Here is an 18,154-nt window from a genome sequence, read left to right as displayed (position 1 = left end):
CCATAAAGAAAGGCCAGGTCACCTACAACAGGAAACCCATCAGACTAACAGTGGATCTCTCAGCAGAAACCCTACAAGCAAGAATAGATTGGATGCCAATAGTCAACATTCTTAAACAAAAGGATTTCCAACCCAGAATTTCATATCTGGCCAAACTAAGCTTCATAAGTGAAGAAGTAAAATCCTTTTCAGACAAGCAAATGCTGAGGGAATTTTTAACCACGAGATCTGCCTTGCAAGAACTCCTGAAGGAGGCACTAAATATGGAAAGGAAAAACCATTACCAGCCACTAAAATAACACACTGAAGTACAAAGACCAATGACACTGTGAAGCAACTACATTGACAAATCTGAAAAATAACCAGCTAGCATCATGATGACAGCATCAAATTCACACATAACAATATTAACCTTAAATGTAAATGTAAGTGGGCTAAATGCCCCAATTAAAAGACACAGAATGACAACCTGGATAAAGAAGCACAATCCAATGATATGCTCTCTTCAAGAGACCCATCTCACGTGCAAAGACGCACATAGGCCGAAAATAAAGAGATAGAGGAAAATTTACTAAGCAAATGGAAAGAAAAAAGCAGGGGTTGCAATCCTAGTTTCTGACAAAATAGACTTTAAACCAGCAAAGATAAAAAAAAAGACAAAGAAGACCATTACATAATGGGAAAAGGTTCAACAAGAAGACCTAACTATCCCAAATATATATGCACTATCCCAAATATATATTGATGGAACATACCTCAAAATAATAAGAGCCATTTATGACAAACCCACAGCCAATATCATACTGAATGGGTAAAAGCTGGAAGCATTGCCCTTGAAAACCAGTATGAGATAAGGATGCCCTCTCTCACCACTCCTATTCAACATAGTATTGGAAGTTCTGGCCAGGGCAATCATGCAAGAGAAAGAAACAAAGAATATTCAATAGGAAGAGAAAAAGTCAAACAACCTCTGTTTGTAGATGATATAATCCCTTTTTGTTATGTGTTTTTATATTATTATTATTATAATACTTTAAGTTCTAGGGTACATGTGCACAACGTGCAGGTTTGTTACATATGTGTACATGTGCCATGTTGGTGTGCTGCACCCATTAACTCATCATTTACATTAGGCATTTCTCTTAATGCTATCCCTCCCCTCTCCCCCCACCCCATGACACAACCTGGTGTGTGATGTTCTTCGCCCGGTGTCCAAGTGTTCTTATTGTTCAGTTCCCACCTATGAGTGAGAACATGCCATGTCTGGTTTTCTGACCTTGTGATAGTTTGCTCAGAATGATGGTTTCCAGCTTCATCCATGTCACTACAAAGGACATGAACTCATCCTTTTTTATGGCTGCATAGTATTCCGTGGTGTATATGTGCCACATTTTCTTAATCCAGTCTATCATTGTTGGACATTTGGGTTGGTTCCAAGTCTTTGCTATTGTGAATAGTGCCGCAATAAACATACGTGTGCATGTGTCTTTACAGCAGCATGATTTATAATCCTTTGGGTATATACCCAGTAATGGGATGGTTGGGTCAAATAGTATTTCTAGTTCTAGATCCTTGAGGAATCACCACATGGTTTTCCACAATGATTGAACTAGCTTACACACCCACCAGCAGTGTAAAAGTGTTCCTATTTCTCCACATCCTCTCCAGCACCTGTTGTTTCCTGACTTTTTAATGATTGCCATTCTAACTAGTGTGAGATGGTATCTCATTGTGGTTTTGATTTGCATTTCTCTGATGGCCAGTGATGATGAGCATTTTTTCATGTGTCTGTTGGCTGCCTAAATGTCTTCTTTTGAGAAGTGTCTGTTCAAATCTTTGCCCACTTTTTGATGGGGTTGTTTGATTTTTTCTTGTAAAAATGTTTCAGTTCTTTGTAGATTCTGGATATTAGCCCTTTGTCAGATAGGTAGATTGCAAAAATTTTCTCCCATTCTGTAGGTTACCTGTTCACTCTGATGGTAGTTTCCTTTGCTGTGCAGAAGCTCTTTAGTTTTTTCATTAGATCCCATTTGTCAATTTTGGCTTTTGTTGCCATTGCTTTTGGTATTTTAGTCATGAAGTCCTTGCCCATGCCTCTGTCCTGAATGGTATTGCTTAAGTTTTCTTCTAGGGTTTTTATGGTTTTAGGTGTAACATGTAAGTCTTTAATCCATCTTGAATTATTTTTTGTATAAGGTGTAAGGAAGGGATCCAGTTTCAGCTTTCTACATATGGCTAGCCAGTTTCCCAGCACCATTTATTAAATAGGGAATCCTTTCCCCATTGCCTGTTTTTGTCAGGTTTATCAAAGATCATATGGTTGTAGACGTGTGGTGTTATTTCTGAGGCCTCTGTTCTGTTCCATTGGTCTATATGTCTGTTTTGGTACCAGTACCATGCTGTTTTGGTTACTGTAGCCTTGTACTATAGTTTGAAGTCAGGCAGCATGATGCCTCCAGCTTTGTTCTTTTGGCTTAGGATTGTCTTGGAAATGCAGGCTCTTTTTTGGTTCCATATGAACTTTAAAGTAGTATTTTCCAATTCTGTGAAGAAAGTCATTGGTAGCTTGATGGGGATGGCATTGAATCTATAAATTACCTTGGGCAGTATGGCCATTTTCACATTATTGATTCTTCCTATCCATGAGCATGGAATATTCTTCCATTTGTTTGTGTCCTCTTTTATTTCGTTGAGCAGTAGTTTGTAGTTCTCCTTGAAGAGGTCCTTCGCATCCCTTGTAAGTTGGATTCCTAGGTATTTTATTCTCTTTGAAGCAATTGTGGATGGGAGTTCACTCATGATTTGGCTCTCTGTTTGTCTATTATTGGTGTATAGGAATGCTTGTGATTTTTGTACATTGATTTTGTATCCTGAGACCTTGCTGAGGTTGCTTATCAGCTTAAGGAGATTTTGGACTGAGATGATGGGGTTTTCTAAATATACAATCATGTCATCTGCAAATAGGGACAATTTGACTTCCTCTTTTCCTAATTGAATACCCTTTATTTCTTTCTCCTGCCTGATTGCCCTGGCCAGAACTTCCAACACTATGTTGAATAGGAGTGCTGAGAGAGGGCATCCCTGTCTTGTGCCACTTTTCAAAGGGAATGCTTCCAGTTTTTGCCCATTCAATATGATATTGGCTGTGGGTTTGTCATAAACAGCTCTTATTATTTTGAGATATGTTCCATCAATACCTAGTTTATTGATAGTTTTTAGCATGGAGGGCTGTCGAATTTTGTTGAAGGCCTTTTCTGCATCTATTGAGATAGTCATGTGGTTTTTGTCTTTGGTTCTGTTTATGTGATGGATTACGTTTATTGATTTGCGTATGTTGAACCAGCCTTGCATCCCAGGGATGAAGCCCACTTGATCATGGTGGATAAGCTTTTTGATGTGCTGCTGGATTCAGTTTGCCAGTATTTTTTTGAGGATTTTTGCATCGATGTTCATCAGGGATATTGGTCTAAAATTCTCTTTTTTTGTGTGTGTGTCTCTGCCAGGCTTTGGTATCAGGATGATGCTGACCTCATAAAATAAATTAGGGAGGATTCTCTCTTTTTTTCTATTGATTGGAATAGTTTCAGAAGGAATGGTACCAGTTCCTCCTTGTACCTCTGGTAGGATTTGGCTGTGAATCCGTCTGGTCCTGGACTTTTTTTGGTTGGTAGGCTATTAATTATTGCCTCAATTTTGGAGCCCATTATTGGTCTATTCAGGGATTCAACTTCTTCCTGGTTTAGTCTTGGGAGGGTGTATGTGTCCAGGAAGTTATGTTATCCATTTCTTCTAGATTTTATAGTTTACTTGCATAGAGGTGTTTATAGTAGTCTCTGATGGTAGTTTGTATTTCTGTGGGATTGGTGGTGATATCCCCTTTATCATTTTTTATTGCGTCTATTTGATTCTTCTCTCTTTTCTTCTTTATTAGTCTTGCTAGCAGTCTATTTATTTTGTTGATCTTTTCAAAAAACCAGCTCCTATATTCATTAATCGTTGAAGGTTTTTTGTGTCTCTATCTCCTTCAGTTCTGCTCTGATCTTAGTTATTTCTTGCCTTCTGCTAGCTTTTGAATTTGTTTGCTCTTGCTTCTCTAGTTCTTTTAATTGTGATGTTAGGGAGTTGATTTTAGACCGTTCCTGCTTTCTCTTGTGGGCATTTAGTGCTGTAAATTTCCCTCTACATGCTGCTTTAAATGTGTCCCAGATATTCTGATATGTTGTGTCTTTGGTTTCATTGGTTTCAAAGAGCATCTTTATTTCTGCCTTCATTTCGTTATTTACCCAGTAGTCATTCAGGAGCAGGTTGTTCGGTTTCCATGTAGTTGTGTGGTTTTGAGTGAGTTTCTTAATCCTGAGTTCTAGTTTGATTGCACTGTGGTCTGAGAGACTGTTGTGATTTCTGTTCTTTTCCATTTGCTGAGGAGTGCTTTACTTCCAACTATGTGGTCAATTTTGGAATAAGTGTGATGTGGTACTAAGAAAAATGTATATTCTGTTGATTTGGGGTGGAGAGTTCTATAGATGTCTATTAGGTCCACTTGGCACAGAGCTGAGTTCAATTGCTGGATATCCTTGTTAACTTTCTGTCTCATTGATCTGTCTAATGTTGACAGTGGGGTGTTAATGTCTCCCATTATTATTGTGTGGGTGTCTAAGTTTCTTTGTAGGTCTCTAAGGACTTGTCTTATGAATCTGGGTCCTCCTGTATTGGGTGCGTATATATTTAGGATAGTTAGCTCTTCTTGTTGAATTGATCCCTTTACCATTATGTAATGGCCTTGTCTCTTTTGATCTTTGTTGGTTTAAAGTCTGTTTTATCAGAGACTAGGACTGTAACCTCTGCTTTTTTTTGTTTTCCATTTGCTTGGTAGATCTTCCTCCATCCCTTTACTTTGAGTCTATATGTGTCTCTGCATGTCAGTGGGTCTCCTGAATACAGCACACTGATGGGTCTTGACTCTTTATCCAATTTGCCAGTCTGTGTCTTTTAATTGGAGCATTTAGCCCATTTACATTTAAGGTTAATATTGTTATGTGTGAATTTGATCCTGTCATTATGAGGTTAGCTGATTATTTTGCTCATTAGTTGATGCAGTTTCTTCCTAGTCTCGATGGTCTTTACAATTTGGCATGTTTTTGCAGTGGCTGGTACCGGTTGTACCTTTCCATGTTTAGTGCGTCCTTCAGGAGCTCTTGTAAGGCAGACTGGATGCACAAACTTCAGTAACCAATTCGATCAAGTGGAAGAAAGGGTATCAGTGATTGAAGATCAAATGAATGAAATGAAGCAAGAAGAGAAGTTTAGAGAAAAAAGAGTAAAAAGAAATTAACAAAGCATCCAAGAAATATGGGACTATGTGAAAAGACCAAATCTACATTTGACTGGTGTACCTGAAAGTGACGGGGAGAACAGAACCAAATTGAAAAACATTCTTCAGGATATTATCCAGGATAACTTCCCCAACCTAGCAAGGCAGGCCAACATTCAAATTCAGTAAATACAGAGAACACCACAAAGATATTCCTCGAGAAGAGCAACCCCAAGACACATAATTGTCAGATTCACCAAGGTTGAAATGAAGGAAAAAATGTTAAGGGCAGTCAGAGAGAAAGGTTGTTTTACCCACAAAGGGAAGCCCATCAGGATAACACCGGATCTTTTGGCAGAAACTCTACAAGACATAATCCTATATCTAGAAAACCCCATCATCTCAGCCCAAAAGCTTCTTAAGCTGATAAGCAACTTGAGCTGTCTCAGGATGCAAAAATCAATGTGCAAAATTCAAAAGCATTCCTATACACCAACAATAGACAAGCAGAGAGCCAAATCATGAAAGAACTCCCATTCATAATTGCTACAAAGAGAATAAAATACCTAGGAATACAGCTAACAAAGGATGTGAAGGACCTCTTCAAGAACTACAAACCACTGCTCAAGGAAATAAGAGAGGACACAAACAAAAGGAAAAACATTCCATGCTCATGGATAAGAAGAATCAATATCATGAAAATGGCCATACTGCCCAAAGTAAATTACAGATTCAATGCTGTACTCATTAAACTACCATTAACATACTTCATGTAGTTAGAAAAAAGTACTTTAAAATTCTTATGGAACCAAAGAAGAGCCCTCATAGCCAAGACAATCCAAAGCAAAAAGAACAAAGCTGGAGTCATCATGCTATCTGACTTCAAACTATACTATGAGGCTACAGTAATCAAAACAACATAATACTGGTACAAAAACAGACACATAGACCAATGGAACAGGATAGAGATCTCAGAAATAACACCACACATATACAACCATCTGATTTTTTACAAACCTGGCAAAAACAAGCAATGGGGAAAGAATTCCCAATTTAATAAATGGTGCTGGAAAAACTGGCTAGCCATATGCAGAAAATTTAAACTGGACATATCCCTTATACCTTATACAAAAATTAACTCAACATGGATTAAAGACTCAAATGTAAAAGCCAAAACTATAAAAACCCTAGAAGAAAATCTAGGCAATACCATTCAGGACATAGGCACAGGCAAAGATTTCATAACAAAAATGTCAAAAGCAATTGCAGCAAAAGCAAAAATTGACAAATGGAATCTACTTAAACTAAAGAACAAAAGAAACTATCATCAGAGTGAGCACACAACCTACAGAATGGGAGGAATTTTTTGTAATCTATCTATCTATCTATCTATCTATCTAATCTATCTATCTATCTGACAGAGGTCTAATATCCAAAATCTACACAAGGGATTTAAACAAATTTACAAGAACAAAACAAACAACCCCATTAAAAAGTGGGCAAATGACAGGAACAGACACTTCTCAAAAGAAAACATACAGGCACCCAATAAACATATGAAAAAAAGCTCAACATCATTGATCATCAGAGGAATGCAAATCAAAATCACAATGAGATACCATCTCACACCAGTTAGAAAGTCAATTATTAAAAAGTCAAGAAACAACAGTTACTGGTGAGGCTGTGGAGAAATAGGAATGCTTTTCCATGGTTGGTGGGTATTAGTTCAGCCATTGTAGAAGATGGTGTGGTGATTCCTCAAAGATCTAGAACCAGAAATACCATTTGACCCAAAATCACATTACTGGGTATATACCCAAAGGAACATAAATCATTCTATTACAAAAATACATGCACATGTATGTTTATTGCAGCACTATTCACAATAGCAAAGACATGGAATCAACCCAAATGCCCATCAATGATAGACTGGATAAAGAAAATGTGGTACATATACACCATGGAAAACTATGCAGCCATAAAAAGGAATGAGATCATGTCCTTTGCACGGACATGGATGGAACTGGAAGCCATGATCCTCAGAAAACTAACACAGGAACAGAAAACCAAACACTGCATATTCTCACTTGTAAGTGGGAGCTGAACAGTGAGAACACATGGACACAGGGAGGGGAGAAACACACGTTGGGGCCTGTCGAGGGGCCAGGGGAGGGAGAGCATCAGGATAAAGAGCTAATGCATGCAGGGCTTAATACCTACGTGATGGGTTAATAGGTGCAGCAAACCACTATGGCACTCATTTACTTATATAACAAACCTGCACGTCCTGTACATGTGTCCAGGAATTTAAAATTAAAATAAAATATTTTTTTAAAAAAGAAAGAAAGGAAAATATTTGCAAGCATATATCTGATATGGGGTTAATATCCAGAATATATCAAGTATTCCTCAACGCAACAACAAAAACCAAATAATTCAATTAATAATGGGAAAATGACTTGAATAGACATTTCTCCAAAGATAATATATAAATGGCCAACAAGTATATGTAAAAATGCTCAGCATCACTAATCATCAGGGAAATGCAAGTCAAAACTACCATGTGATATCACTTCACATCCATTAGGATGGCCACTATTCAAAAATGCAAAATAAGTGTTGAGAAAAATGTGCAAGAATTGGAATCCTTGTGCACCATTGCTGAGAATGTAAAATGATGCAGCCACTATGGAAAACAGTGCAGAAGTTCTTCAAAACATTAAATACAGAATTACCATATGATCCAGCAATTCCACTCTTGGATTTATATCTGAAAGAACTGAAAACAGGATATCAAAGAGATATTTGCACAGCCATGATCATTGCAGCATTATTCACAATAGCCAAGAAGTGGAAGCAACCGAAATGTCCACTGATTGATAAATGGATAAAGAAAATGTGGTACATACATACAATCAAATATTACTCAGCCTTGAAGAAGAAGAAAATTCTGTCATATGGTACAACTTCCAAGTTCATCCAGGTTGTACCATATGAAGTATTGTGCTAAGGATATATTATTGAGAACATTATGCTAAGTGAAATAAGCCAACCACAGAAAGGCAAATACTGCATTAATCCACCTATATGAGGTATCCAAAGTAGTCAAATTTCTAGAAGAAGAAAGTAGAATACTGGTTGTTAGGGGCTATAGAGAGAGGTAAATAGGAGTTGTTCAATGGGTACAGAGTTTGAGTTTGAGTTTTGGAAGATTCAAACGTTATAGAGATCTGTTGTACAACAATGTTCGTATAGTTAAAACTATTGTACCGTGCACTTAAAAAATGGTTTAGATGGAGGTTTTGTGTTGTATGTTTTTACCACAATAATAAAAAGTATGGAGATAATAATATTTAATACTACATTACTTGATTGCATATAATTAAATAAGTCATTGTTTACAGAGTACTTATCATGGTACCTGGCATTCAGTAAGTGATAGTTATCATCCTTGTGTGTATTATCCCATTAAAGGTATCTATTTGGCTTTAACTAGCTGACACCCATGACTGAAGGTCTAAGAACAGAAGTTAAGTGTTAAAAGAGAGAAAAGCAGCCTCTGACATCTGAAAGCTAGTTGAGCATTCACAACTAGACCTTGGTGTTCTCTGGTTAAGCATAAACAATTACACAGAGCATCAACATCAGATAACGCCATTCTGTGGCTTTGATGGATCAAGATTACTTGTAAACAAGTCTGAGCACAGGCATAAACAAAAACATTGTCCAAAGCACAAAACCAACCAAATATCCCACTATCCTGGCTAATATGAGTAACTGCTACTTTTTTTTAACTAGTTATAGACTTATTTTCATTTTGTTTTTCCCATCTTCAAGATAAAAATTAAGATACTCAAATCATAGAATTATCCTCACTCCTCACAGCATCCAATCCATAACAGAGTCCCACTTCATTGAACCTTTCCCTAAACCACTTAATGCAATCCCAGATCCTATGATAATCTTATAAGTGCTGTCTATCCTCCTCTTCTTGTGGCACCATACAATTCCTCATGATGTGTGGTCACCCTCATTGCAACAAATCAATAGTTCTGATTTGTTGAACTACAGTATGCTCCTTATGGTGTCTGGCTGGAGGAAATTGACAGTGCTGACCCTGTCAAGTGTAGCCTGGTATCTACTGATACAGTGCAGTAGTACAGATGCTCCCCTGTAATGACAATATATTTCAATGAAGCCTACCTCCTCCTCAAAGTTTTCATGGATTTACTTAGTTCGAAACAGTCTTTCCCTTTCCTTGCCTCCCATGACACTTGCAGTGTACCCCATTACCACCCTAGTCTCTCCCTGGAGCACAGTCTGGGAAACAGCAAAGACTAATGGGTGAAGGCACCAGCTTCAGAGTCACAGCCCTCTGTGTTAGAATCCCCGAACTTCCCCCTTACAACTGTGTAGCCTTAGGCAAGGCACTACATCTGTAAAACCTATATTACTTCTGTTGTGAAATGAAGAAAATGATATTTTCTTTCTTAACCTAACTCGTTTATGTTGTGAGGATTAATGGGATAATGTACAGAAAGCATTTAGTCTAGTGTCTGGAACACAGCAGATATTAAATGTGTTGTACTGCTATTATTATATTTATTACACAAAATTATTCTTCCCTGAAGAAATCTAGACCTTATGAAAAAAAGGGTTAAGGGGACTGAGGTTATGAATCATGTTCAAGGCCCCTCTAGGTTGATCTAAGGCTGTGGAGACTTCCATCTCTGGGTCCCTTCTCCGTTGAACAACCTTTATTTGCCCTACACTCTACAGTGGTAGAGGGGTTACCCATGCTTCCACCTTAATATACTGTCCTAATGTCTGGACTACTGCACTATATCAATAGATACCAGGCTACACTTGGCAGGGTCAGCCACTGTCTTTGTTGGCTTTGGTTCTGCATGGGAAAACAGCAAGACCAAGTGTATTGATCTTGGCCTTGTTTAACCTTTCCTTAACTTCTTTTTTTTCCTCCTCAGGTTTCATTGCAAGACTCTCAACTCCTTCTTTGCGTTTCCCTTTACTTCCCTTTTTATTTCTCTACCTCTTATTCCCTCTTTTTTTGCTTCAAATTATTGCCAGTAGGAATGACTCCTAATTCCTGTGCACTGAGACTAAAACTAGCACGATTGCTAAAAAGGCCAAAAGTGCATTTGCATTGCCTAGAATGTTATAAGAAGTGTTATAATTGGGGGATATAGTTGTGCCATATACAATGCTGCACAAACTCACTACTCAAAAGTGGTTCAAGCAAAATGCCATAGGAGCTCAGGGAAGGAGAATGGGGTGTGGGGATTCATGGAGGCTACATAGAGAAGGCAGTCAACGGACAATGTAATGGATGAACAGAGGAGGCCAGAGACAGGGAGCGGAGAGACCCTTCAAAAGGCTCTTCAAATAATCAAGTAGAAAAGTACCGAGAGACTGATTGAGAGAAGTGAGTGTAGGTGGGAATGGAAAAGAAGGATGGATAAGACAGACTTGGGTCTCACAGTCCACAAAACATGGAAAGTAGCATGCTGCAGGGGACAGAGACTGTGAATGAGCTCTGTGATCCAATGCTAGGAGACCTATACCACTCATAAGCTGAGTGCCCTTGGGCATGTAACTTCTCTTCTTGTGCCTCAGTTTTCTCACCTGTAAAATGGGGTTGATAAGTATCTGCTTCATGAGATTGTTGTCAAAATTACGTATGTTGAAACACCATTATGTTTTCTTATCTTTTGATGAGATAATTCTGCAAATGCCTTCTTGGTATTATTACCGGGAAAATGGAGTTAACAGGAGAGCCTTTGACTACAGCAGTTGGGGCCATTGGACTGCTTGAAACTATGTATTCCGTCTTTTCAGGATTACTCTGGACCATTCTCATTCAATGGTGGGGCATTCCTGTCCCTGACAGAGACCTTCCTGGAGCATCTTCACCCCAGACCAGTGGGAATGTTAAAGGGCTTGTTATGAAGCTCCTACATCTGGCCATAGCCAGAGTGATGCCCAATGGTTGGTTAAGAAGCACTTCCACCTACACGCACTGTGTCTGTGAAAATGAAGGAAGAAGGAAGGGGTTGTTTCTGCTAGCCGTGTCTTGTGAGGGAGCTCCCTCACAAACTCACCTCCTCAAATTCTCTGACTCTGAAAGGGAAGCATTCACACATGATATTTCTATAAAATTACTTTTATAGCCACTTAAACACAGGCCTGCTTTTTTTGTGTGTTTCTTTTGCTGCATGACTAATTGGGACTTGAGGAAAGCATCCAGCAGCACACCTGTTTTATCTGTTGTGACTATCTCTGCTCTCCAGAGAACATGTTCACTATGTAAAGAGGAGAAATGTGAACATCGTCATTAGCAACTGCTTATTGTTTCCTTTCCCCAAATCAGTTTTAACGCATCGACCTAGTAAAGCATATGCTGAGTTATTGGAGTTGGTTTTAAGAAGAGATAAGCCAAAAGGTTGTTTTAAATTGTTATGGCATGGAGGTGCCAGCCCTTTCAAAATATTGTGAAGTATGTCATGCACACAAAATAATACTACTAATAATAGTTAATAAAAAATTACCCACCACCCACCTTAAGAAATATTACCAGTAATTTAGAAGCCCCCTCTATGCCATGTCCCTCCTTCCTTGCCCCAGTTGTAACCTTTCTCCGGAATTTGTATTGATTACTCATTTGTTCTTTGTTTTTCCCATCTTCTAGATAAAAATTAAGATACCCAAATCATAGAATTACCCCTACTCCTCCCTTAGTTTTTGTGCTTATACATACATTCCTGAGCAATGTATTGTCTAGTTTTGCCTGGTTTGGGGCTTTGAATGAAATCATACTCTAGGGAATTTTCTGTTGTTTGCTTCTTTTATTCACTTTGTCCTTTTTGAGGTTTTCCAGGTTGATGCATCTATCTGTAATGGGTTCTTAACCTGTGTGAATGCCCCCTTCCCTGGAGTTCTGCCATAAACAGAGTAGCCCAGGCTGTAAAGTAGCCCAGGCTGTGTGAATAAACCACAATTCATTTACATATTCTGCCAGTGATCAATAATTGGACTTATTTCCAGGTTTTGGCTATTTGGTACAATGCTGCTATGAAGATTCTTGTACATTTCTCCTGGTATAAATTTTTCTAGGCCATACTTAGGAGTAAAGTCACTGGATTGTAAACATGCCAGGTTCAACCTTACCAGGTAATGTGAAGATATTTTCCAAAGAGCTTGAGTCACTTTGTGTTTTAAGAAGCATCTGCCAGAATGGAATTTGATATTCAAGAGATTTGTTGGAGAAATGGTGAAGGATAAAGGGGAGACAGAGGTGTAGACAGAGAAGCTTCAGACCTCAATACAGGTCTGGCCCTGTGAAAACAGAGGGGGATGAGCAGTACATGTCTATGATGCCACAGTAGCTACACCAATTCACACTCCCACCAGCAGCACCCAATTCCTGTTTCTCTGCATCCTTGCTGACACTTAGTTTTGTCAGACCTCTTAATAGTTGCCAATGTTTTGTGTGTAAAATGATATGTCATTGCGGTTTCCACTTGCATTCTCCTGATTACTAACGAGAATGGGCATCTATCCATAGTGTATGGGCCATTTGTATTTCATCTTCTGGGAAATGCCTATTCAGTTTTTGTGCTATATATATATTTTTTTCTGTTGGGCTATGTGTATTTTTCTAAGTGGTTTATAAGAGTCGTTTATATATTTTGGATGCTAATTATTTGTAGGTGATATATGTTACAAAAATTTTTACCCAGCTTGTAGCTTGTTTTTCTATTCCCTTCATTGTGTCTTTTGATGAACCAAAGTTCTAAATTTTGACGTATTTGAATTTATTAGTCATTCCCTTTATAATTCGTGCCTTTTGTGACTTGTTTTAAAATTTTCCCACTCTAAGGTTATATTGGAAATGTATTATTTTTGTAAAAGTTTGAATACTTTTAAAGTTCACATTCAAGTGTTTACTCCACTTAGAATTGAATTTATATTATGCTATGAGATAGGGATTCAATTTTATATTTTTCTTTATGTGAATAGCCAATTGTCTCAGTACTATATTTTGAATGGTGTTTCTACCCATGGTCGGCAATGTTATTCTGTCATACAGCATTTCCATATATGTGTAGGTTGTTTTCTGGGCTCTCTAAGCTTTTACACTAACCTGTTTATCCCAGGGACAATCTTGCACCGTCTTATTTACTGTAGCTTAAAATTATGTCTTGATATTAAGTAGGCTAATTCTCCCTACCTTGCTCTTTTTTTAGGAGGGTATTGACGGTTTTAAGACATTTGCTCTTTCCATGTAAAATTTAGAATAAGTGTAACTTCCCCTGGAAAAAATTGCAATTTTTATTGAAATTGCTTTGAATCTATAGATCAATTTAGAGAGAATTACATCTTTACAATGCTAAGTCTTCTTACCCGAGAACACCACCCATTTCTCCATTTATTTAGTTTGCTTTAATGTCTTTAAAGTTTTATAAGTTTCTCCAGAAAGTGCTTAAACATCTATTTCCAAAGCAGTGTTTTCAAATGATGTAGGTTTAGGAAATTTTTGCACCCTTAAAAATTATTTAAAAACTCGAAGATGGCCGAATAGGAACAGCTGCGGTCTACAGCTCCCAGCGTGAGCGATGCAGAAGACGGGTGATTTCTGCATTTCCATCTGAGGTACCGGGTTCATCTCACTAGGGAGTGCCAGACAGTGGGCGCAGGCCAGTGTGTGTGCGCACCGTGCGCGAGCCGAAGCAGGGCAAGGCATTGCCTCACCTGGGAAGCGCAAGGGGTCAGGGAGTTCCCTTTCCGAGTCAAAGAAAGGGGTGACGGACGCACCTGGAAAATCGGTTCACTCCCACCTGAATATTGCACTTTTCAGACCGGCTTAAAAAACGGCGCACCACGAGACTATATCCCACACCTGGCTCAGAGGGTCCTATGCCCACGGAATCTCGCTGATTGCTAGCACAGCAGTCTGAGATCAAACTGCAAGGCGGCAACGAGGCTGGGGGAGGGGCGCCCGCCATTGCCCAGGCTTGCTTAGGTAAACAAAGCAGCCGGGAAGCTCGAACTGGGTGGAGCCCACCACAGCTCAAGGAGGCCTGCCTGCCTCTGTAGGCTCCACCTCTGGGGGCAGGGCACAGACAAACAAAAAGACAACAGTAACCTCTGCAGACTTAAGTATCCCTGTCTGATAGCTTTGAAGAGAGCAGTGGTTCTCCCAGCACGCAGCTGGAGATCTGAGAACGGGCAGACTGCCTCCTCAAGTGGGTCCCTGACCCCTGACCCCCGAGCAGCCTAACTGGGAGGCACCCGCCAGCAGGGGCACACTGACACCTCACACGGCAGGGTATTCCAACAGACCTGCAGCTGAGGGTCCTGTCTGTTAGAAGGAAAACTAACAACCAGAAAGGACATCTACACCGAAAACCCATCTGTACATCACCATCATCAAAGACCAAAAGTAGATAAAACCACAAAGATGGGGGAAAAACAGAACAGAAAAACTGGAAACTCTAAAACGCAGAGCGCCTCTCCTCCTCCAAAGGAACGCAGTTCCTCACCAGCAACGGAAGAAAGCTGGATGGAGAATGATTTTGACGAGCTGAGAGAAGAAGGCTTCAGACGATCAAATTACTCTGAGCTACTGGAGGACATTCAAACCAAAGACAAAGAAGTTGAAAACTTTGAAAAAAATTTAGAGGAATGTATAACTAGAATAACCAATACAGAGAAGTGCTTAAAGGAGCTGATGGAGCTGAAAACCAAGGCTCGAGAACTACGTGAAGAATGCAGCAGCCTCAGGAGCTGATGCGATCAACTGGAAGAAAGGGTATCAGCAATGGAAGATGAAATGAATGAAATGAAGCGAGAAGGGAAGTTTAGAGAAAAAAGAATAAAAAGAAATGAGCAAAGCCTCCAAGAAATATGGGACTATGTGAAAAGACCAAATCTACGTCTGATTGGTGTACCTGAAAGTGATGTGGAGAATGGAACCAAGTTGGAAAACACTCTGCAGGATATTATCCAGGAGAACTTCCCCAATCTAGCAAGGCAGGCCAACGTTCAGATTCAGGAAATACAGAGAACGCCACAAAGATACTCCTCGAGAAGAGCAACTCCAAGACACATAATTGTCAGATTCACCAAAGTTGAAATGAAGGAAAAAATGTTAAGGGCAGCCAGAGAGAAAGGTCGGGTTACCCTCAAAGGAAAGCCCATCAGACTAACAGCGGATCTCTCGGCAGAAACCCTACAAGCCAGAGAGAGTGGGGGCCAATATTCAACATTCTTAAAGAAAAGAATTTTCAACCCAGAATTTCATATCCAGCCAAACTAAGCTTCATAAGTGAAGGAGAAATAAAATACTTTACAGACAAGCAAATGCTGAGAGATTTTGTCACCACCAGGCCTGCCCTAAAAGAGCTCCTGAAGGAAGCACTAAACATGGAAAGGAACAACCGGTACCAGCCACTGCAAAATCATGCCAAAATGTAAAGACCATCGAGACTAGGAAGAAACTGCATCAACTAATGAGCAAAATCACCAGCTAACATCATAATGACAGGATCAAATTCACACATAACAATATTAACTTTAAATATAAATGGACTAAATTCTGCAATTAAAAGACACAGACTGGCAAGTTGGATAAAGAGTCAAGACCCATCAGTGTGCTGTATTCAGGAAACCCATCTCACGTGCAGAGACACACATAGGCTCAAAATAAAAGGATGGAGGAAGATCTACCAAGCCAATGGAAAACAAAAAAAAGGCAGGGGTTGCAATCCTAGTCTCTGATAAAACAGACTTTAAACCAACAAAGATCAAAAGAGACAAAGAAGGCCACTGCATAAAGGTAAAGGGATCAATTCAACAAGAGGAGCTAACTATCCTAAATATTTATGCACCCAATACAGGAGCACCAAGATTCATAAAGCAAGTCCTGAGTGACCTACAAAGAGACTTAGACTCCCACACATTAATAATGGGAGACTTTAACACCCCACTGTCAACATTAGACAGATCAACGAGACAGAAAGTCAACACGGATACCCAGGAATTGAACTCAGCTCTGCACCAAGCGGACCTAATAGACATCTACAGAACTCTCCACCCCAAATCAACAGAATATACATTTTTTTCAGCACCACACCACACCTATTCCAAAATTGACCACATAGTTGGAAGTAAAGCTCTCCTCAGCAAATGTAAAAGAACAGAAATTATAACAAACTATCTCTCAGACCACAGTGCAATCAAACTAGAACTCAGGATTAAGAATCTCACTCAAAGCCGCTCAACTACATGGAAACTGAACAACCTGCTCCTGAATGACTACTGGGTACATAACGAAATGAAGGCAGAAATAAAGATGTTCTTTGAAACCAACGAGAACAAAGACACCACATACCAGAATCTCTGGGACGCATTCAAAGCAGTGTGTAGAGGGAAATTTATAGCACTAAATGCCTACAAGAGAAAGCAGGAAAGATCCAAACTTGACACCCTAACATCACAATTAAAAGAACTAGAAAAGCAAGAGCAAACACATTCAAAAGCTAGCAGAAGGCAAGAAATAACTAAAATCAGAGCAGAACTGAAGGAAATAGAGACACAAAAAACCCTTCAAAAAATCAATGAATCCAGGAGCTGGTTTTTTGAAAGGATCAACAAAATTGATAGACTGCTAGCAAGACTAATAAAGAAAAAAAGAGAGAAGAATCAAATAGACACAATAAAAAATGATAAAGGGGATATCACCACCAATCCCACAGAAATACAAACTACCATCAGAGAATACTACAAACACCTCTACGCAAATAAACTAGAAAATCTAGAAGAAATGGATACATTCCTCGACACATACACTCTCCCAAGACTAAACCAGGAAGAAGTTGAATCTCTGAATAGACCAATAACAGGCTCTGAAATTGTGGCAATAATCAATAGTTTACCAACCAAAAAGAGTCCAGGACCAGATGGATTCACAGCCGAATTCTACCAGAGGTACAAGGAGGAACTGGTACCATTCCTTCTGAAACTATTCCAATCAATAGAAAAAGAGGGAATCCTCCCTAACTCATTTTATGAGGCCAGCATCATTCTGATACCAAAGCCGGGCAGAGACACAACCAAAAAAGAGAATTTTAGACCAATATCCTTGATGAACATTGATGCAAAAATCCTCAATAAAATACTGGCAAACCGAATCCAGCAGCACATCAAAAAGCTTATCCACCATGATCAAGTGGGCTTCATCCCTGGGATGCAAGCCTGGTTCAATATACGCAAATCAATAAATGTAATCCAGCATATAAACAGAGCCAAAGACAAAAACCACATGATTATCTCAATAGATGCAGAAAAAGCCTTTGACAAAATTCACCAACCCTTCATGCTAAAAACTCTCAATAAATTAGGTATTGATGGGACGTATTTCAAAATAATAAGAGCTATCTATGACAAACCCACAGCCAATATCGTACTGAATGGGCAAAAACTGGAAGCATTCCCTTTGAAAACTGGCACAAGACAGGGATGCCCTCTCTCACCACTCCTATTCAACATAGTGTTGGAAGTTCTGGCCAGGGCAATCAGGCAGGAGAAGGAAATAAAGGGTATTCAATTAGGAAAAGAGGAAGTCAAATTGTCCCTGTTTGCAGACGACATGATTGTTTTTCTAGAAAACCCCATTGTCTCAGCCCAAAATCTCCTTAAGCTGATAAGCAACTTCAGCAAAGTCTCAGGATACAAAATCAATGTACAAAAATCACAAGCATTCTGATACACCAACAACAGACAAACAGAGAGCCAAATCATGAGTGAACTCCCATTCACAATTGC

General features: G+C 39.2%; 1 annotated feature.

Annotated features, from left to right (window-relative positions):
• Window positions 14,215-14,807: an enhancer, noted in NCBI's record as "NANOG-H3K27ac-H3K4me1 hESC enhancer chrX:148264804-148265396 (GRCh37/hg19 assembly coordinates)". NCBI's record gives its function as "activates a minimal SCP1, AML or CMV promoter by ChIP-STARR-seq in naive H9 embryonic stem cells {active_cell/tissue: H9 hESC(naive)}" and the evidence as "EXISTENCE:reporter gene assay evidence [ECO:0000049][PMID:30033119]".

This window comes from Homo sapiens, chromosome X (genome assembly GCF_000001405.40).
Source record: "Homo sapiens chromosome X, GRCh38.p14 Primary Assembly".
Taxonomy (NCBI): Eukaryota; Metazoa; Chordata; class Mammalia; order Primates; family Hominidae; genus Homo; species Homo sapiens.
Note: the sequence above shows the minus strand (reverse complement) of the source record. Positions and strands in the feature narration are given on the sequence as shown.